The sequence below is a fragment of the Homo sapiens genome, chromosome 20 (genome assembly GCF_000001405.40).
Source record: "Homo sapiens chromosome 20, GRCh38.p14 Primary Assembly".
Taxonomy (NCBI): domain Eukaryota; kingdom Metazoa; phylum Chordata; class Mammalia; order Primates; family Hominidae; genus Homo; species Homo sapiens.
The window spans coordinates 25,000,203-25,021,847 of NC_000020.11; the positions used below are offsets into that span (position 1 = coordinate 25,000,203).

General features: G+C 49.6%; 1 protein-coding gene across 7 annotated transcripts in view; it reads right to left on the reverse strand.

The window, feature by feature from the left end:
* Positions 1 to 6,034: 6,034 nt before the first annotated feature.
* The window catches only part of ACSS1 (acyl-CoA synthetase short chain family member 1), a 51,903-nt gene continuing 36,292 nt past the window's right edge, over positions 6,035 to 21,645 (reverse strand). For 3 of the 7 annotated variants that reach the window (NM_032501.4, NM_001252676.2, XM_047440557.1), the window contains 9 exons: positions 21,187 to 21,334; positions 19,808 to 19,945; positions 14,936 to 15,028; positions 13,759 to 13,871; positions 13,334 to 13,460; positions 12,610 to 12,737; positions 12,399 to 12,462; positions 9,068 to 9,186; positions 6,035 to 7,739 (listed from right to left, as the gene is read on the reverse strand). In NM_032501.4, the coding sequence (NP_115890.2) occupies positions 7,560 to 7,739; positions 9,068 to 9,186; positions 12,399 to 12,462; positions 12,610 to 12,737; positions 13,334 to 13,460; positions 13,759 to 13,871; positions 14,936 to 15,028; positions 19,808 to 19,945; positions 21,187 to 21,334 (1,110 nt within the window). In that variant the 3' untranslated portion in view covers positions 6,035 to 7,559. Of the gene's footprint in view, positions 7,740 to 9,067; positions 9,187 to 12,398; positions 12,463 to 12,609; positions 12,738 to 13,333; positions 13,461 to 13,758; positions 13,872 to 14,935; positions 15,029 to 19,807; positions 19,946 to 21,186; positions 21,335 to 21,645 lie in introns of those variants that run through there. The other 4 variants (NM_001252675.2, XM_006723659.2, NM_001252677.2 and 1 more) reach the window with 4 other exon arrangements.

Sequence of the window (21,645 nt, forward strand, 5' to 3'; positions counted from 1 at the left end):
CCTGGGGAGTTGTTAGAATTTACAGATTTGAAGACCCCAGCCTCCTGAGAGTGGAAGGAGTTGAAACAGCATGGGACTGGGAAAAAGCACTGGACTAGAAGTAGGGTTTGCTTCTGGTTTGAGCTGTGAGGCACACTGTGGGCTGCCTGCCAGCATCATGTGCCTCTTCTGACATGCTGGCAGAACCTGTTTTTGTTGAGATAAACGTCCTCCACGTGGGCCAGTGTTCTAATGGAAGTGAGTGCCAGGGTTAGAGGTGGGTTCCGGTTGGTCTAACCCAGTGCTTCCCAACCAAGGGCCATTTTGTCCACCAGGGGACATTTGTCAATGTCTGGCAACAATTTTTATGATCATGACTAGGTAGGATGCTACTGGCATCTGTGGGGGGAAGGCCAGAGATGCTGCTAAACATCAGTGGAACATTATGCAATATTTTCCATTTAGATGATGACTAATTAGATAGACTCACACTCCCAAAGGGGACAACAATGAACAAAATATTTAAAGCATTTGCTTGAAGAAATCGGAGAGCCTGAAACTGGTGTGGAATTGCTGGACCAGGATCTGGGAACAACAGAGACCCAGGATGATGAGCCTGGTGTGTAACCACTTTTGTTTTTTTACACAAGGTCTTGCTCTGTTGCCCAGGCTGGAGTGCAGTGGCACAATCAGGGCTCACTGCAGCCTCAGCCTCCCAGGTTCAGATGATCCTTCTGCCTCAGCCCTCTGAGTAGCTGGGACTGCAGGCATGTGCCACCATGCCCAGCTAATTTTTTTTTTAATTTTAGTAGAGATGTTTAGTAGAGGTCTATGTTGCCCAGGCTGGTCTCGAACTCCTGAGCTCAACCAGTCCTCCTGCCTTGGCCTCCCAAAGTGCTGGAATTACAGGTATGAGCCACCGCACCTGGCCTTGTAGCCATTTTTCCCCTGGGTGTGTATGCAGCCTCCACAGGAGAAAGTTGAGATGCCAAGCCATATTTCTTTTTTTTCCTTTTCTTCTTTTTTTTTTTTATTATACTTTAAGTTCTAGGGTACATGTGCACAATGTGCAGGTTTGTTACATATGTATACATGTGCCATGTTGGTGTGCTGTACCCCTTAACTTGTCGTTTACATTAGGTATATCTCCTAATGCTATCCCTCCCCCCACCCCACAACAAGCCCCAGTGTGTGATGTTCCCCACCCTGTGTCCAAGTGTTCTCATTGTTCAATTCCCACCTATGAGTGAGAACATGCGGTCTTTGGTTTTCTGTCCTTGCGATAGTTTGCTCAGAATGATGGTTTCCAGTTTCATGCATGTCCCTACAAAGGACATGAACTCATCCTTTTTTATGGCTGCATAGTATTCCAAGGTGTATATGTGCCACATTTTCTTAATCGAGTCTATCATTGATGGACATTTGGGTTGGTTCCAAGTCTTTGCTATTGTGAATAGTGCCACAATAAACATACGTGTGCATGGGTCTTTATAGCAGCATTATTTATAATCCTTTGGGTATATGCCCAGTAATCAGATGTCTGGGTCAAATAGTATTTCTAGTTCTAGATCCTTGAGGAATCACCACACTGACTTCCACAATGGTTGAACTAGTTTACAGTCCAACCAACAGTGTAAAAGTGTTCCTATTTCTCCACATCCTCTCCAGCATCTGTTTTTTCCTGACTTTTTAATGATCGCCATTCTAACTGGTGTGAGTTGATATCTCATTGTGGTTTTGATTTGCATTTCTCTGATGACCAGTGATGATAAGCATTTGTTCACGCGTCTGTTGGCTGCATAAATATCTTCTTTTGAGAAGTGTCTGTTCATATCCTTCACCCACTTGTTGTTGGGGTTGTTTGATTTTTTTCTTGTAAATTTGTTTAAATTCTTTGTAGATTCTGGATATTAGCCCTTTGTCAGATGGGTAGATTGTAAAAATTTTCTCCCATTCTGTAGGTTGCCTGTTCATTCTGATGGTAGTTTCTTTTGCTGTGCAGAAGCTCTTTAGTTTAATTAGATCCCATTTGTCAATTTTGGCTTTTGTTGCCATTGCTTTTGGTGTTTTAGTCATGAAGTCTTTGCACATGCCTATGGGCTGAATGGTATTGCCTGGGTTTTCTTCTAGGGTTATTATGGTTTTAGGTCTAACATTTAAGTCTTTAATCCATCTTGAATTAATTTTTGTATAAGGTGTAAGGAAGGGATCCAGTTTCAGCTTTCTACATATGGCTAGCCAGTTTTCCCAGCACCATTTATTAAATAGGGACTCCTTTCCCCATTTCTTGTTTTTGCCAGGTTTGTCAAAGATCAGATAATTGTAGATGTGTGGTATTATTTCTGAGGGCTCTGTTCTGTTCCATTGGTCTATATCTCTGTTTTGGTACCAGTACTATGCTGTTTTGGTTACTGTAGCCTTGTAGTATAGTTTGAAGTCAGGTAGCGTGATGCCTCCAGCTTTGTGCCAAGCTGTATTTCTAACAGCTCTTTGTGAATGAGTGAGTTCAGGGACATATTTTATAAGATTCCTCCTGAGTCCTGAGATGCAGCCCGAGTTGTCTGTCACACCAGCTGACTCAGTCAAATACTTGTATTGGTTCTTGCTCCTTCCCTGTTCCATACCCCTCATTCCTCACATTTGTTCCTAGAATCACATCCGTAAGTAATGTACCTGCATGCAAGCCTTTATATCAGGCTCTGCTTTCCAGGCAACCCAGGCTAAGGCAGCAAGAGATACAGAAATTAGAATTGTGAGAAATTTCATCATATGGGAAGTTGGGGTCCTCAACAAAAGAAGAGAGAATAGGCAAAAATGATATTTAAAGAGATAATGGTTGAGATATTTCCAAAATGATACAGACATCAATACAGATCTAAGAAGTCCTGCAGAACCCAAGCAAGATTAAAAAAAAAAAGTCAACAAAAAATAAAACTGCAAAAACCAAAGACAAGGAGAAATATCAAGAGCAGCCAAAGGAAAAGTGGTAGATTAACTTTAAATGACCATTTGTTAGTTTGACAGCCAACTACTCAACAGAAACATGGGAAAACAGATACCAATGGAAATGAGATCGTTGTAGTGCTGAAAAAAATAATTAACAGGCTAGAGTTATACACCCAGTCAAAATATCCTTTAAGAGTGATCATGAAATAAATACTTCCAAGTAGACAAAAACTGAATGAATTTCTTATCAGCAGACCTTTATTAAAAGAAATGACAAAAGTCCTTTCAGGCAGAAGGTAAATTATTCCAAATGGAAGTTTGGAGGTATAGAAGAGATACCAAAAAATGATAAATATATGGGTAAATCTAAGTTAATATTGTCTATATAGAACAATAATAAGATGCATACAACTATAATAATACTACCTTGTAGAATTAAAATAGAGAGAAAACTAAAATGCATGATTTATAAGTTGGAAGAGAGGTTTATATGTTGTTAAAGTGTGTTCTTAAAGTCTTTGTATTGACTGGAAATAGGGTAAGGTACCAATTAATATTGAAGGCTGCAACTTATAATCTAGGGTAACAATTAAAATGGTAAGAGTTTATAACTTCAAGCTAATGGGGAGAGGGCAAAAATTAGAATAATAAAAAATGGTCACTCTAAAGGAAGGAAAAAAAAAGAGAACATAGAACAAACAGGGCAAATAAAAAGTACTGAGTTAGATGGTGGATTTAAACCCAAATATATAACTAGTTACGTTAAATGTAAGTAGATTAAATGTATCATTTAAATGGCAAAGATTTCCAGAGTGATTTAAAAAACCAAGGTGAAGCTACATGCTATTTAAAAGAGATACATCAAAAACATAAGGCTATAATAAGATTAAAGTTAAAGGAATGATCCACTGGACACCATGGTTTTCTCCTGTGGTCCCAGCTACTTGGGAGGCTGGGGTAGGAGGATTGCTTGAGCCCAGGAGTTCGAGACCAGCCTGGGGAACACAACAAGACCATGTCTCAAAAAAAAAGAAAGAAAAGAAAATTAAAGGGATGGAAAAACTATTCCATGCAAATATTAACAAAAAGAAAGCTGATGTGACTATACTAATATCAGACGAAATATATTTTACAGCCAAAAGAAAGCACATTTAGAGACTAAAGGGGGATGCCTCTTTTAGAGTCAATTCATCAGGAAGTTATAACAATTTTAAATAGCACCTAATACACAACAAATAGATAAATACATAAATAATTGTGCTAGATAAATATGCAAATAGATAAAGCTTCAAAATGTCCAAAGCAAAAACTGACAGAACTAGAGAAACTCACAGTGGAAGTGGGAACTTTTAACAAGTCTGTCTCAGTAAGTGATGAAACAACTGAGTAAAAGTGAGATGGGACATGGATTTGAACAACATGATCAGCAACTTGACCCAGTGGATACGTATACAATCTTCTACCCAATGATTACAGAATACTTCTTTTCCATCTTGAATGGGACCTTTCTAAAAATTGGCGATAGGTTGAGGCATGCAGCAGGCCTCAACAAACTTCAGAGCACAGAAGTCATGGGAGAGCATGCTCTCTGATCACAGTGCAAATAAGCTAAACACCAATAACAAAAACTATAAAATAACAAAAACTAAATGTTTAGAAATTTTAGAAATAGGCCAGGCGTGGTGGCTCACACCTGTAATCCCAACACTTTGGGAGGCCAAGGCGGGTGTATCACCTAAGGTCAGGAGTTTGAGACCAGCCTGGCCAACATGTTAAAACCTCGTCTCTACTAAAAATACAAAAATTAGCCAGGTGTGGTGGCGTGCACCTGTAGTCCCAGCTACTCGGGAGGCTGAGGCAGGAGAATTGCTTGACCTGGGGAGGTGGAGGTTGCAGTGAGCTGAGATGGTGCCACTACACTCCAAACTGGGTGACAGAGCAAGACTCCATCTCAAAAAAAAAAAAAAATTAGAAATATTTTTCCAAACAATCCATGATGCAAAGAAGTCATAATGTCAAGTAGAAAAGCCAGAACTGTACCCCCAAAAGAGCAGGTACCTCTGCAGACCTGGCCCTGGCACAGGATATCTGGGAGCAGGTTGGATAGCCAGTCTGTTTGCTCTGCAAAAATTTCTTTGTGGAATAGCAGAGGGGTGTTGCAGCGATGCCAAATAAACATAGAACAGGATCCTAGAAGCTGGAGAAGGAGGAACCCTTGGCCAGAAGCCCTGGAGCAGCTCTGTTTGTTAATTATTTCTGTAGTAACCAAGGGAACATTGGTGAGCACCCCACAGAGTAACCACAGGTCAGCATCAAAGTAAGCAAGTAGCTGGCTGGCAGTATTTCACAGCATCTTTGCTTTTCTTCCCAAATCTGCAGTTTGAGAGAGGCGGCTTGCCCTGGGAACTCTGCTGGTAGGGCATCATGCAGCATGGTCCAGAATCCCTTTCTTTTTTGTCACAACCTCTGTACAATATGAAGTAGGAAAGTTGTATTCGTTTGTATTCATTTGCTGCTGTAACTAAATATCATAGGCTGGGTGGCTTAAACCACAGAAATCTGTTTCTATGGAGGCCAGGAAGTATAAGATCGAGGGGCTGGCAGATGGGTGTCAGGAGCAGACCCAGACTGCTGAGATTCTGCCTCTGTGGCACTGATTCAGTGTGTCCTGATGAAGGACCAGCCCACCCTAGCGGAGGGATGACCCAGGGACCAGGCCATGCTCCTCATGCACGCTACTCAGAGCCAGGTTGTCCCTCGCTCTTGCCTGTGCTCTAGCCCAGTGCCGCCTGCGGCCTCCAAGTGATGGTGGTAGTGCGCCTATCTGACCTGCTGTGCATGGCCTCTGGGCACTTGAAATGCAGCAACTGCAGACTGGGAACCAAATTTCTATTCTGTTTAAGTTACAGTTAAGTGGCCACGTGTGGCTGATGCATCAGCGCAGTCAGCCATCCTTGGTAAGGCAGGTGAGCTCACCAAGGAGCAGTCAGGGCTGTGAGTGTGAACCCCCCAGGAGAAAAGGCCCCTTCCAATTTTGTCTGTAGGATTATATTCAGGAAAAAAAAAGAGTAGCATTACTGGACCCAAAAAAATCACCACAAAGAGAAAATGAACAAAATAAAGCTTTATTTGAACTCCCTCCCCTACAGATCATTCAGATGCCCGGGACCATGTCCAGGTTCCTCTCAGCAACATGGAAAGCTAAGCCATTTCACAAACGCACAACTGTAGCTACACTACAGCCCCCCATGCCCAGGGCACAGCTTTGTTGCTAAGCCTGTAACAAAAGACCACCACTCAGTATTTGTGTACCCTGCAGCCAACACCACCTCCTGGGCTTCACAGGTTCACTCACCCAAGAGGCCAGCACAACCACGACCGAGTGGGTACTCAGTGGCCCAGACACCCCCCGAACACTGGCACTGCCACAAGGCCCTGAAGGGTAGACTGTGGGGCAAAGAGGACAAACTCTCCCTCCCCTAAGGGACCCGGCTCACTGGGCCTCCTTCCCCTGCCAACCGCCAGCCCCTGCATGCCTAGCAGGGAGGTAAGCACCCACTGGCGTCGTGATTTCCATTATCTTGCTAATGTTGACAGCACCTAAGTCACATTAAAACAAAGAGAGACTGGATCCAGACCTCCAAGTCTCATCATTGGACCTCAGTGGTTCTCACCGCCCCAACCACAGAGTGAAGGTCAGGCAGCGTTTGCCAGGATTTGGCTCTGACCAAGTTAGTGCTCTAACAAGTCACCTGAGTTTCTAATAGCTTCCCTGAAGAACCCAACTATTTGGAGTATGTTGCCTCTCCTATCAAGAGGCATCTGGGGGCACAAAAATCTTTCTGGATCACAGCTTGAAGAAACAGAACATAACTGGAGTAGCTTCAGAACTAAGGCGGCCACATTCACCCCACCGCTTAGGAGTTAGCTCCATTATACACAACCAAGCACAGGAGAAACACTCACCAGGAAAAGATGCCGGAGGCTTGGAAGTTCTCAAGGGAACTGTTTAGACAGAGGTACAAACATCTCCAATTCAGACTTCCAAATACACTAACAATAATTAAAAATGTGGCCTCTGATCCTCATGTTTCCTCACCAGTAGAGGCAAAAAAGGAGATTTTCATAACTACATGTTAAAAAGAACATGTTCAAGTAAATCCACACACTACATGTGAGTGTTGCATGCTGTTCTTCCACAATATAAAAGTATAAAAATAAGATTTCTGACCTTTGTATCTAGACAGATCTGGAGAAAACACGGTTGCTACTAGCTAACTAGCTCTGTGTTATCTGAGCAGGCGCGCTATCCCAGGGCCTCACCTTCCTGTGCTGGCTCAAGAGGGCAGAGGAATGGAGATGGCAATGCCTTTTCATTCCAGGAAACCAAACTCAGATGGCAGAACCAGCCCTAGCCATGTCGCATAGCCTCTCCATGGGTGACACTCCTGGGACCTCCAATGGATGGGAGAAAGGGCTCTCAGCCCAGCTTCACGTGAGGGCGGTGTGGGTCATGTGTGGGGTGGGGGCTGCTTCTGGGACGTAGGAAGACGCCAACCTCAGGGGTACCTTCTGGGAAGGACAAGCCAGGGCTTGGGTGCCCGCCCATCCCAAGAGCCCCACAAGGTGCCAGCTCACTTAGCAGCAGCCTGCTTGTCCTTGCACTTCTGGTAGACACTCAGGATCTCTGCGATGATGCTGGGGTCCTCCAAGGTGGTAGTGTCTCCCAGCTCCTGGGCCTCACTAGTGATGATCTTCCTCAGGAGCCGCCGCATGACCTTCCCAGACCTGGTTTTTGGAAGACGTTTCACCACCTGGCAAGGAACAGGCACAGTGTTAGAGCGTGGATGGTGCCCAGCCTCTGTGCTAGCGTGGACTGCATTAAGATCAGAAGGGCTCTGCTCAGGGGGGATGCCCTCCCGGGGATCCACAGTGGATGTCTAAGCCTCCACCCCAGAGAACGGTGAGGCCCGAGGTCTTGGCTTTATCCTCCTACTGTCTGGACCTAAGCTGAAATCCACCCCGATGCTCTCCGCCAGGCAGGGTCCACCCAGGCCGGGTTCACCCCGTACTGCCGTCCGTCTGTCCTGCCACTGTGCCACGTGCAGGCACCCAGGTGGCAGCAGATCCAAGCACCCACTGGGTGCCTCATCTCCATTCTCTGGCCTGGGACTTGGCAGGTTTTGTCTTACATCAGAGGTGAGAACTACTTAAGAGAAAAATTTTGTCTTAGTGTTTGAAAAGCTAACATGGAGCATGCTCAAACAACTACAGCCCATTCACTGCAAATGGCAATGCATTAAGAGCTGTGTTTGGGATCTTTGACAGTCATTCTGTCTTTTGAAATAGTTCAGTTCACCTAGGGTGAGTCCGGGTCTCCTGAAATTCTGGTCACTGGGCCAAATGTGTCAACTCCTGTAATACCAAGTGGATCCTGGCCCTGCCGCCTCTGAGGGCCGCCAAACCCAGAGTCACAGCGCGCAATGTTCATAAAGGAGGGAATGAAAAGCCGGGGGTTGAAGAGGCAGCCCAATCCTCCCCTGATTCTGACCCCCTGGGTTGGGGGTCTGCGATCTCCTTCACTGCCACCAGGAAAAGTGCTCAAGAACCACACAGGGGCTGGAGAACCCTGGTACTGTCCCCATGTCTCTAATGAAAATCCCTAAGGTTCTTCACCAGCAGCCCCATTTCTGTGACTAGCCTGCACATGCCAACATACGAGAGCAGAAGCCTGCCTAGGTGACCTCCTGGACAGGTGAGCTGGCTGGGCGTGGAAGCCTGCCTAGGTGAACTCCTGGACAGGTGAGCTGGCTGAGTGTGGAAACCTGCCTAGGTGGCCTCCCAGACATGTGAGCTTACTGAGCATGTAGGCCTGCCTAGGCAACCTCCTGGACAGATGAGCCCACTGAGCATGGAAACCTGCCTAGGCGACCTCCTGGACAAGTAAGCTGGCTGAGCTCACTTCTCCCTCTATGACAACACAGAGACCCACCATCCTCACCACCAGCCAGGAAAACCAAACAGCTAGTGTCCGTTTTGATGCTAATTGGAAAAGAGTAATATGCTCCTAAAAGATCATTGTCACTTGACAATTGTGGGAAGAACAGCAGCACAGCCCCATCTTTGTGGGAGGCCCACTCACCAGGATCTCATCAGGCACAGCATATTTGGCGATCTTGGTGGCCACCATGGACTTGAGCTCCTGCACCACCACATCTGAGTCACCCGCACTATCTTTCACCACAATGAAGGCAAAGGCAGCTGAAAATAAAGCCAAGTTTGGGGATGTATTAAATACTAGACAAGGAGCCAACTCCCGAGGCAGGGTGCTATGCACAGACTGCCAGAAATCCGAAGGGCTTTTGAATCCTATGTTAGTGACATTGTAGCAGCTGGTTTCTTTAGTTGCAAACCCAAAGATGCACTTCAGTTTCATGAAAAGTGGCAGCGATTCTAACAGCTCCACAGATGTTCCAGGTGAGTGCACATGTGTGGCTGAGAGCTTGGCATCTCAGCTCTAATGCTGACTGGCTGCGTGTGACCTGGGACATGGGACCTCCCCTCTCTGTGTACACATCTGTGAAATAACCCATAATGTGGTTTGATGGAATGAGACTTCCATGAGAAGGTGCACAGATGCACAGCAAATGGGCACCACCAGCCTTTGGGGGTGTGTGTGCAACATGGTGCCATGGGCCAGGGTAGCTATTTCAGTTCAATTAAATCAGCAGCTCCCTGGCTGCATGAGCCACACTTCAAGTGCCATTCAGCACCATGAGCAGCCAGAGGCTGCCACCCTGGACAACACAGACAGCTGAGAGGCAGCTGAGAGTTCTGCTGGGCAGCACGGGCCAGCCCACATTATAGCATAAATACTAGCTTTCGTTTTTCAGTACCCTGGCATGTTCCAGGAAGAGTTCACACTGTGAAGAGGGATCTAATTTGATTGTTGTCCATATAAGGAGTTGCTCATCCCGGTGCCATCCCTGATAGCCTGCCCGTCCCCACTGGCCTGTGAGGTGCTCTGTCTCTCCCTCGAAGCTTCTATATATGTGTGGCTCTCCTACTGCTCATCTGCCCCAGCCCCATGCCACCTTCACCCATTCTTCCCTGGCATGTAGCACCTAACTGACTGTGTCGTTTCCTTGGTGATCATCTTTCTTGCTCTTTGTCTGTCTCTCTCCTCTACTCTTGACCCCTCTATGGGGTCAGAGACCTTCTCACTCACTGCTGTGTCCCCAGCATCTAGAACCATGCCTGGAACACAGGAGGTGCTCAACACATGGTTGTTAAGTGCATGAATGGATGATTGGTTTTCTGAACAAGCTATGATCTGTAAAGACCTACAGCCTTTGCCTGAAAGGCCTTCCTATATCCATGTGGCGAACTCCTATTCATCCCTCAAGACTCAGTTCAGCCACCTCCTGCTCTGTGAAGCCTTTCCTGACTCCACCCATGAATCTAGTTTATGGCACATGCTATGTGGGAACAGCTGTCAGTCCCCCTGCTGCCACCCCACTAGGCTGTTAGATCTTTGAGGGAAAGAACACCGTTTTTCTCATCTTGGTCGTTGATATGGGATCAGAAGTGGGCCTGGACTGTTGAGTTCTGAGGATGGAGCTGGAGGGAGGAAACCTTCCACATGGGTGGAGGAGCCAGTTAAGAGCCAGGACGAGGCAGGCAAGGCTCAGGACACTGGAGACAAGAGAGACAAGAGCCTGGCCAGCAGCACCAGAGGCTTGCTGGGTCTAGGTCCTAGACAAGGTCCAGGGGCTGCCCTTTTTCAGAGCTGCTGCAAAACAGAGAGAGTGGGGACAAATATACGATATTCACAGGCAGCTTTAGAGCCAACCAAGAGCTGTTCATCAGCTCTTCATAATTATAGAATGGATACTCAAATTCATTAGAAATCAGGAAAATGCACATCATCATACACATGATAGACAAATTATCCCCACACATCTGGCAGACATTAAGAAGCCTGGCAACACCAGACTTGCAATAGCTCCACACACGCAGAACGTGCCCTGGGCAGCAGCGTCCACAGCAGACCATGCCCCAACACCACCCCAACAGACCTAAGGCTAGGCCACCCTATGAAAGACAGTGATTGTGATGCCCAAACGTTTGTCTAAAGGTCACTTCCATTGTCCTTTCCTTGATCTTGCACTTGCTTTATGGAGTTCAATCCAGGGGCTGCTGAATCCCCAGACACAGTGGACCATGCCCGGACCCCTCTCAGTGGCCCCAGGGAGTACTGGCTCAGCCACTGGACTCAGACATAGATGGGGCTTTCAAATCCCAGGACACGTCAGTGCCCTGTGGACCCCCAGCCCAGAGATGTGAAATGCAGGAGTCCTCAGAGGAGGGGCCCAGGCTCCTGCCAGAGCGAGGTAACCTCAGGGGGGCACTAAGTTACCCTAGTCACACCTGAGAAACTGTCCTCGTCTCCGTCCTCTCTGACCCTCCTGATCACATCTGGACATGTCACCGGGCAGGGGTCCCTACCAGCTCTCTCCCACATCCCAGCCTTACCAGCATAGCCTTTCCATGGCAACTGAAAATGCTGTTTGTAAAGCACTGAAACAAATTCTCAATCTTGCAATGCGTCAATTTAAAGAGAGCATTTAAGTAAATAATGGAATAACGGCACATAGAAGTGCAGGGAGGAAGGTGACATCTGGGACACACTGTGACACAGGGTGGCCTCCCAGCGGGAGGGCAAGCCTGACCCCAAGCCACTGGGCAGGGCAGGAGAAGCCAGTCTGCCCAGCAGTGCCCTGGCATGGGGTCAGTGTGTGTCCAGGTCACGCCAGGCCAGGCAGTGTGCCTGGATGGACCTGGCATTGCAACACCTAGGTGCTCCCGCCCCTTCCCAGACCCAGCCACCAAGAAGCTGGCAGACTCGAAACAAAGCGTGGCCTTGGTAAAGGCCATTCTAGTCCCTCATTCTGCATTCCCCCAGCATGTCGCTGTGCAGTGGGAACCACAGGTCAGATTCGTCCAAAGAGTCCCAGCGCAGCACACAGCCTGCACACTCCAGAGCACACTCTGGCACACACGCGTGGCGGCTGCAGAGCTGGCTTGAGTGCTATGACCAAGCCCGTGAGGATACATGAGGCTGGACATTTTCTCATAAACTCTCTGTAATGGGGCTGGACGGTGTCCCCACCAGATACACCATGGACAGAAGGGGAAACCCCCCAAGCTTAGCCAAGCCCAACTGGGTCATGGCCACTGTGGATGTGTGTCCTGAAAGGACAGCAGAACCAGGGCATTTCAGAAACCCGACCGAACACGAGTGCTATTCAGCCTCCTCCCCTACAGTTTCCACTTGAGAGAGAAGAACACTGAGAGCTTGGCCCACAGTATCCCCTATCACTCCACTCTCCAGAGTCTGCTCCTCGTACAGAGGTGCCCATAATGGGTGTGGGGTCAGGAATCAGGGAGGAGCTCATCTCCAGGACACTCACCTTCTCCTTTGATGTCGTGGGGGTAGCCAATGACAGCACTTTCTGGTACTGCAGGGTGGTCGGCCTGTGTACAACAGAGAACAAAAGGGCAAAATGTGGCGGCCCCGGGTGCTAGAAGTGACTCGGGCCAGGGACTCCCACCCCAACTTGCAGGTCCACAGGGGCATCATGGAGGTGTAGGAGTGAAGGAGGAGGCCCAGCCTGTGCTCACGATGGCGTCCTCAATCTCTGCGGTCCCCAGCCGGTGGCCACTGATGTTGATGACATCATCCATCCGCCCTGTGATCTGGTAATAGCCGCCCTCAGTTCGGTAAGCCCCGTCTCCAGTGAAGTAATAGCCTGCACCACAGCAGGGAAATTCAGCACCAGGAACCCTGAGCCAGGACCCATGTCCCAACCTCAGTAAGCGTGAAGCTCTGCAGCCCAGCACGCGGCTGAAGTCTCGCCCATCGGCCCTCCTTGCAACTCCGATGCTTCCCTATGTTCTAGAGCATGGGCAGGTGGCTCCGAGATATCGAGACTTTGGGGAGCAGAAGGTATACAAGCAGCACATCCAAGATGCTTCTCCAAAACACTGAGTCTTGTTTACGACAAAAAGGGAAACTGGGAAAAAATAAAAGTAAACTGGAAGAAAACTCCCAGCCGTAGCTAACAGGATCCTACCATGGGCCTGGCTGCAGTGCAGGACTTCACACCCACACCTAAGTAGCCCCAAGAAAGTCCCCGAGTGGGGAATCACTCCCACTGTCAAGATAAGGAAAGCCAGGGAGGTACAGCAAAGGGAGAGGGGTGCGGAGTCAAACTCTGGCCTCGCGAGCACCTATTCCTGGCCACAGTGTTACGCTGCACTCAAATCCCATTAAAAATGTTTTCTGAGAATAAGATTCCAGCAGTCAGCTGAAAAGGAATGAGAGGGTCCCTGACAGCCTGCTCACCTGGGTAGGCCTTGAAGTAGGCGTCCACAAATCGCTGGTGGTCGCCATAGATGGTCCTGGCCATGCCCGGCCAGGCCTGGGAGATGCACAGGGCCCCGGAGACGTTGCTGCCCTCCACGACGCTGCCCTGTAGACCCCGGACATGCAAGTGAGACAGGGCAGGCTCTGGGTGAGAAGTGTGCCAAAAAATGACAAGCCCTGCCCTCAAGGGAGCTGTCCATAGCTCTCCCCTCTGCCCCTGAGGAGGGCCCCAAGCCACCTGTGTGGCCACTACCCAGTGCATGATACCAGCTGCAGTGAACGCTGCAAGGTCAGCAGCCTCCTGCCAGGTACAGACCTGGGCACACAGGAGAGAGCTGGGCTGGGCAGGCAGGGACAAGGGAGGGCAAGCACATGACCCCCATGTGGGGGAGGCCCATACACACCTTCTCATCCATGAGGACGGGGACGATGCCAAAGAAGGGCCTCATCGCCATGGCAGGGAGGATTTCCGCCCCTTCTTCCGAGGGCCGTGGTGCGATGCAGATGCCACCTGTTTCTGCAGGTATGACAAGAAAGAAATGCATAATCGGCCCCGGACCCAGGGATACGTGTATCCAGAGTGGGTGGTAGGTGGGACTGTCCCTGTTGTGGGCAAGGAAACGCCTCAGGGGCACAACGATCTTTGAGGCAAACCAGATGTGGGTCTGGTGCCCTCCACTGTGGATATGAGAGGCGGCCCCACAGTGGCCTCAGCCCCAGGAGCTCTGGCATCCCACAGCCAGGTGCAGGCCCCCTCGCCATGTCAGGCCCTTGCTTGAAGTGGGAAAGGGCAGAGCCCACCCACTTGCACATGAAGACGGAGAAAAAGAACTGCTTCTGGGCCAGCGCCCATTTGACATGAACCCAACAACGAAAAAAGATGCTCTCAAATCCTACCCTCACATTATTTCCAGCCTGTACCAGGGAAATGCCCCAGTGACTCAGCTAGAGAATCTCTGTCCCAGGTTTTCCTGAATGGATGGGACTGTCCCATGGGAACGCCTCATTTTCTGGCTTGAGGATGAGCCCTCAGATAGTTACATTCATTACATCTATGGTGGTCTCTCGCCCCAAGCCTCCTAATAAGTCAGATACCCAAGAGAAGGGGGGACAAATCCAAACAAAATGTCACAGGAAAAATTCCTTTTCCCACTAAAATTTAAATTTAGACTCATGCTCCCTTAGAAGATGGGGCCTGTCTCATCAGATGTTCCCCTGTTCAGAAAGGGGCACTAGGAAGGGACACGGCCCCTGAGCTCCTGCTGCACACCAGGCCTTGGGCAGCAAGCTGAGCTGTGTCACCTCAGTTCACCCTCACCCAGGCGTGTGGGGGGCGCCCCCACCTCACAAAGGAGGAAACCGAGCCTCAGAGAAGTTGTGACAAGAGGTCCCACAGGTGGGAAACAGCAGCCAGGCGACCTCTGAGTTCCCTCACTCTAGGCTCCAGGGTTTCCGCAGTCTCGGGCGTTGAAGCGTCTTCTATCGCACCTGCTGTTGAGAGCTTGGACCCCAGTCCCAGCCTCACACCTGACCCTGCAGACCCAGCACTTAGACCGGAACCTGTTCCCCAGGCCTCCTCACCTGTCTGCCACCAGGTGTCCACCAGCGTGCACCTGCTGTCCCCCACCACCCTGTGAAGCCACTCCCAGGCCTCACAGTTGATGGGCTCTCCCACTGAAACCACACAGAAAGAAAAAGATGTTAACAGGCTGCAAATAAACCTGAAACCAAAGGGAAGTTTTGTTTTTTGTTTTTTGTTTTTGTTTTTCTTTGAGACTGAGTCTCACTCTGTCTCCCAGGATGATCTTGGCTCATTGCAACCTCCACCTCCCAGGTTCAAGCGATTCTCCTGCTTCAGCCTCCTGAGTAGCTGGTATTACAGGCGCCTGCCACCACACCCGGCTAATTTTTTGTATTTTTAGTAGAGACGGGGTTTCACCATGTTGGCCAGGCTGGTCTCGAACTCCTGACCTCAGGTGATCCACCTGCCTTGGCCTCCCAAAGTGCTGGGGTTACAGGTGTGAGCTGCTGTGCCCAGCCAAATAAAGAGATTTTTAAGGAGAAAACAGCTCCGTGATTTTTATTTTTGAAGAACATACAAGGAGACCTGAAAATGCAGTGAGACATACCGTATTTATGGTCATCAAAGAAATGCACATGACCATGATGTGTTTTTACCATTAGATGATGGATATCAAAAAGCCAGTAAGAATGTGGGGAAAACAGGATTTCACAGACACCATTAGGAGGATAGTTTGGTTCAGCAATTTTGAGGAGCAATCTGGATGTTTCTCTTAACATTTAAAACTCCATACAACCAATACAACTACTCTGAGCAACTGCTTGGGGCAGAATCTACTACAGCTAAATACCTCAAAACATGACCCCTGACGTACACCCCACAGAAATGACTGCAGATGCCACCAGAAGTGGCTATGTAAAGGGTGTCCTCAGCAGCTCTGCTCATGTTAGAAACCACACACATCCCTCAGGAGTAGGTGGCTAAATACAATATGGCACGCTCCTGCAGAGGAACGCCACATTGCAAAGAAGATGGCGAACCTCCACGACCCACAGCGGCACTGGTGAGTCTGAAGCATGACGCTGGGCAAGGGAGGGGTGTGCTGTGTGATCCCACCCAGCTGAGGTTCAAGTGCAGCCGGATCTGTCCGTGGTGATGCAGGCCACACTGTGGTCATGGTTCGGGTAACTCTCGTAACTGGGAGGAGCCATAAGGGGGCCTCTGGGGACTAGGAATTTCTGTAGCACTTATACACGTAAACATCTCTCAAGTTGAACACTTAACATCTGTACCCTTTAGTACACATTATATCTCAATAGAAAGGAAGAAGATATGTGTACACCCTAGGATTCTCAGTGTCTACCTTATGACATTTCCACACCAGGCCAGCACTCAGCCAGAACTCACCAGGCTAGACGTGCTATCACTAAAACACTGAAATACTCTCGTGCTGGTGGTTGCCTCTTGCTCAGGACCACTCACAACCCACAGCCTGTCCCAGCAGTGGCCCCCGCATCCATGCTGCATGATCAGTGCTGGCCACATTGGCAGCTCAGTGTCTTGTGTGTCACACCTGCACTCAGAACATCCACAAGGGGCAGGGAGATGCCCCGCAGCGCTGGTGGACACGCTGGGAGACTGCGACAGCCTGCACCCAGCCACGGGGCTGTGACCACACAAGCCAGGGTAATCCCCACGGCAAAGCAGGTCCGTGTGGAAAAATGCAGATTCTACAATCTTAAAAGAAACATTACAGCATCATAGCACGGTGTGGTAACTTTGGTGTTAAAGAAAACGTCATTTAACAGAGCTGCATCCACTACAGGAACTTAACTGCAGAGACAGGGCCGAAGGCGCAGGAGCAACAACCCCTGGAGCAGAGGTCGAGGAAAACTTCAGCTTTTTTTTTTTTTCTTTTTTTTTGAGAGAGAGAGACAAGGATCTTGCTCTGTTGCCTGGACTGGAGTGCAGTGGCATGATCATGGCTCACTGCAACCTCGACTTCTGGGGCTCAAGGATCCTCCCATCTCAGCCTCCCAAGTAGCCGAGGGACTACAGGCACGTACCACCACGCCCAGCTCCTAAGGACATCAGCTTTAAGTACAATGCTCCAATTTCTTCTTTTCACAAGAGTGTATCCATGTATTACTTATGAAATTGAAAGTTTAAAAAAGCTTTGAGAAATACAAATCTAGGGGGAATGTCTTGAGTGAGTGGGATTCTGACGACTCAACGGATTAAATGTCATGAGGGCTGATCCCAGCTGCCTGGAATGGGTCTGGGCTGTGGAATTGCACCGACAGGTGTGCCAGCACAGCGCTGGCCCTGGCCAAGGTGTGGAACACACTGACTCCCAGCACTGCTCCGAGGTGCTGGGAGCCCCAGGTGCAAGACATCACAAGACGCCACGCTGCCTGCCAACACTGTATACCGAGAACAGAACAGCGAGGTGTGTGATTAGCACCTGGCCTCCCGCAGGGCTCTGCGGCTAGAACCGGTTATGCAACAGGAATAGGAATGTGCCTATCAACCAGCTAAATACACAAAACCCAGCTGAGCCTCTGCTGGGGGCTGGCCCCCTGGCTCAGAGGTGTTCCAAGTCTGTGGGGACCCCTAGGTGAGGCAGAGGCTGCTGGGATACACATCCCACTCTAATGCAGCTGCCAGAGCACACCCCTTCCTGAAATGCACTTAGGGCGGTACCCCTTGTCATTGGACCCCGTGAACCTTCCTTCAGGAGACAAATCCCATGAGTGTATCTGGAAAACCAAATCTTGCCCTTCAGCCCTGTCCCCACCTAATGCCTAGGGCCCACTCAGGTGGCCCTGCTGACAACACCTAGAGGATCTGGGCGAGTTTCTATGGCCCTGGCCACCCCGCTGTTTGTTCCCAGTCCACAAGCACTACATGGCCCAGGCAGTCAGAATCACACGGGCCTCTCAAGCCCAGCTCCAGCATGCCAAGAGAGACCACCCAAACTCACCACTTATTATGGTTTGAATGTTTGTCCCCTCCAAATCTCACGCTGAAATGTAATTGCCATTGTAACAGTATTAAGAGGTGGAACCTTTATGAGGTGATTATGCCAAGAGGTTTCCACCCTCATGAGTGGGATTGGTGCCATTATAAAAGGGTGAGTTCAACCTCCTCTTGCTCTCTCTTGCCTTCTCTTTGCCCTTCCACCATGGGACGATGCAGCAAGAAGGCCCTCACCAGATGCCAACACCTTGATGTGGACTTCCCAGCCTCCAGAAATGTGAACCAATAAATTTCTGTTCATTATAAATCACCCAGTTTCAGGGTATTCTATTACAGCAGCACAAAGCAAACTAAGATTCACCATCTAGAAAGGAACCCCATACTCTTTCTGAGAGGTGGAGGGGACAGTATGGCAAGGGACCTGTTGAGGGTACAGGGTGGGGGCACAGAGCCCATCAATCAGGTGGGGGGCAGAGTGAGTTTTACAGACTCTAGAACCAAGTGCTGCGTTCAACACAGGCTGCCCTACTTGCTGAGTGACCTCAGGCCGGTTCTCTGACCTCTCTGTGCCTCCTCTTCCTTCTCTGTAATGTGAAACAACATCTGCTGTTTGCTCAAAGGACTGATGTGAAGATAAAGGCATTTAATACATATTTGCTCTTATTAATAGTATTCAAACTCCTCCTGCTTTTTAATCTAGAAAGCTGGTTGAGAAACAGAAGGTTTTTACTGTTAATGGGGAAAATAAGGGAAAAGAGGAGGAGGAGTCATTGGATGCCTGCTATTCCTCAGGAGCTCTCTCCATTAATCATCTCCATGCTGAACATTATACTAAGGCTCACATCTGACCCTCTGTGGCATCCTCGCCACCCTGTAGGTAGGTCTCATCCCCATCTCACATTTGGGAACAAGTGGTGAGCTCTGCAGGGCACAGCCCCAGCTGCTGTGCCTCTCAGCCTGTGGCCCGGATGCCCGCATGGCCTCATGGTCACCCAGTAGTAGTGGAATCACATGTTCACTGGGAGGTACATGCTCCCTTCCCAAGGATGTATGTGGCAGAATGGGACACTCTTCCATGGTCACTGCCCTGCATGCTTCCCCAGTGAAAAGCCACCAAGCAGGTGGCTGACCACGCGTGACCACACGTCAAGGCAGACATGAAATGTGGCAGGGACAGGAGAGAGAACAGCAGTCACCAGCACCCAGTCCCTCCCAGCACCAGCCCGAAAGACAGACACTGCTGATACTGTCGAAACCATGCCACCATCACATTTCCAAAATGTTTCCATGTGATTTGGCAATATCCATCAACATTACCAATAGGCCTAAGCTTTGAACTGTCTGCCTGGAAATGTCTACAGTAACAGCAGGGCAAAAGTGCAGGATGGTATCCACTCCACAGACTTGGAGACAATCAAAAGGTCCAACTATGGGGCAGTGTTTAGCAAACTGTAGTTATACTATTATTACTATTATTTAGACGACTGAGTCTCACTCTGTCACCAGGCTGGAGCGCAGTGGTGCAATCCTAGTTCACTGCAGCCTGAAACTCCTGGGCTCAAGCAATCCTCCCACCTCAGCCTTTGCCACCACACCCAGCTAAGTTATACAGTTAAATCCCATGCAGCCACTAAAGAACTGACCTGACCCTTAACTTATTGAGTGGGTAAGTATTCCTAATGAAGATTAAGCTACAGAAATTGGGCACAGAAACAACGGCACAGAAAATGTCTGGAACGTTGTTCCCCAGACAGGTAACTGCTGCCAGCTCTGGGGAGGAGCTTACAGGTGGGAAGAGGTGCTGGTGCTTTCTACCAGATCCGGTCTGGCATTGCGTGAATTCACACATACAAAGCCGGGCAGCTTCATGACTGAAGTCCTGCTGAAGCCCGTATTGGCTCTGAGGGTCTAGGGCAAGCACAACCTCTCCTGCTGCAGGGCAGGCCGCTCACCTGACCCCAGGGTCCGCAGGGAGGAGCGATCATACTTCTTCACCCAGGCATCACCGTATTTCAGCAACAGCCGGACAGCCGTTGGGGCGCCATAGAACTGATTGATCTTCAACCTCTCTACTGTCTCCCAGTACCGACCTACAGAAAGGCCGAAATTCACTGTCAGCAGGAGAGCTGACATGGTTTACTTTAAACTCAGAGATCAGCCAAGACTTCCTGAGTGCTGGGCATGTGCAGACGCGCATATGTCCATATGAAAGGGATCCCCCCAACCCCCCACCCCCGCCAGTGAAAGATGGAAAGAAGCCCCATGGGACAGGTCCCCAATGGCCGCTCTCCTCCAAGCACTCCCCAGATCCATGGGCGGCACATTCAGGAACAGTCTTCACCAGGCTTAGGGTGATGGCCTAGTTCAAGGTGATACTACGTGGATTTAATAACCCATGGAGCATTAACACAGAGCTTTCACTCGATCACACTCACATGGGCTCTAAAGTGGTGACTGGTGCTTCCCCTGGTGACAGTACAGCTGCCACTGCGTGTGTCCCAGGGAGCAGGGCCATGTGCCCGGCATGCACACCCCTGGTTCCTGTAAACCCACTACCCACACCATCCCCTCCACATGGAACACTGAGCTTCTAAGGGCTGAAGTGGTGGCCTGAGACAGCACCTGGGCCATGGCCCTTAATCCCTGGTCTTGCCCCTACAACTTCTTCCTTGAGCACACCCAGCCCCCAAAGGCAGGGATGGAGCACTGGGAGGTGATAACACAGTCCATGCACAGTTGTCAGTGCCATGGAACACTGGAGCAGCAGCCTTTGGGCAGAGCCACCATGATCTGCTTACATTAAAGAAAATATTTGAAGACACTGTGCTGTGTGGGAGGACGATGCCCAAGGGAGCCAGTCATCACCTTGTCTTCAAAGTGATCTCAATTTAATGGAGATGGTTCTAGGCCATGCCTAACATGGTTTGAGGGACAGCCCTGAAGGCTCAGGGGCAGGGCTGGGGACACAGAAGTGGCGGGCAGCTGGCCCTGGCTTTGAGAAAGGGCTGGATCTGGGCAAGCAGCCTAGAGGTGAGAAGGATGCCAAAGCGATGGCCTGAGGCCGGCAGTTTAAGTCAGAGGGCAGGAGTGCAGGAGCAGGGGCCTTGAGATGTCCTCCAGCACCAAGTCAGACTCCCTGCTGCTGCCTGTCAGATCTTTCTGAAGACCTGGGGCCTGGCCCCACCGGGCATTTCGACAGCAGGACCTGGAGAGCCACACCCTCACCAGAACCCAGGCGTCCCCCTTCCATGAACCTCTCCACAAGCCTCGAGCCTCAGGCTCTCTCCCCTGACACCAGCATGGGGTCCCAAACAGGGTTCACCATCCTTACCAGCATTGGGATAAACTGGGGTGCTCTCAAAAAGGACGCTGGTGGCACCATTGCAGAGAGGCCCATACACCACGTAGCTGTGTCCTGTAATCCAACCGATGTCGGCCACACAGCCAAAGATGTCACCTGGCTGGTGGTCAAACACAAGCTGCAGAGACAGGAAAGGAGCATCAGGAGCTTGTCCCCCCACTCCACCATGTTCACACCAGGTCACTAGGAAATAGGCATGCATAGGCTGCAGTCCATAGCTGTGAGAGGCAGCTGGCTCCTCAAATGGCCTCCAGCAGCAGGACAGGTGGGCACACTGCAGAGTCCGTCTAGTTGTACGTTTAACACATGGACACCTTTTTGCATTACCTTATGCCACGATTTTTTAAACCCCTTAAGAACTACAAAAAATAAAAGCAAAAAAGGCCAAGAATGGCATCAAGCATCATCAGCTTCGAGGAGCATGAGAGG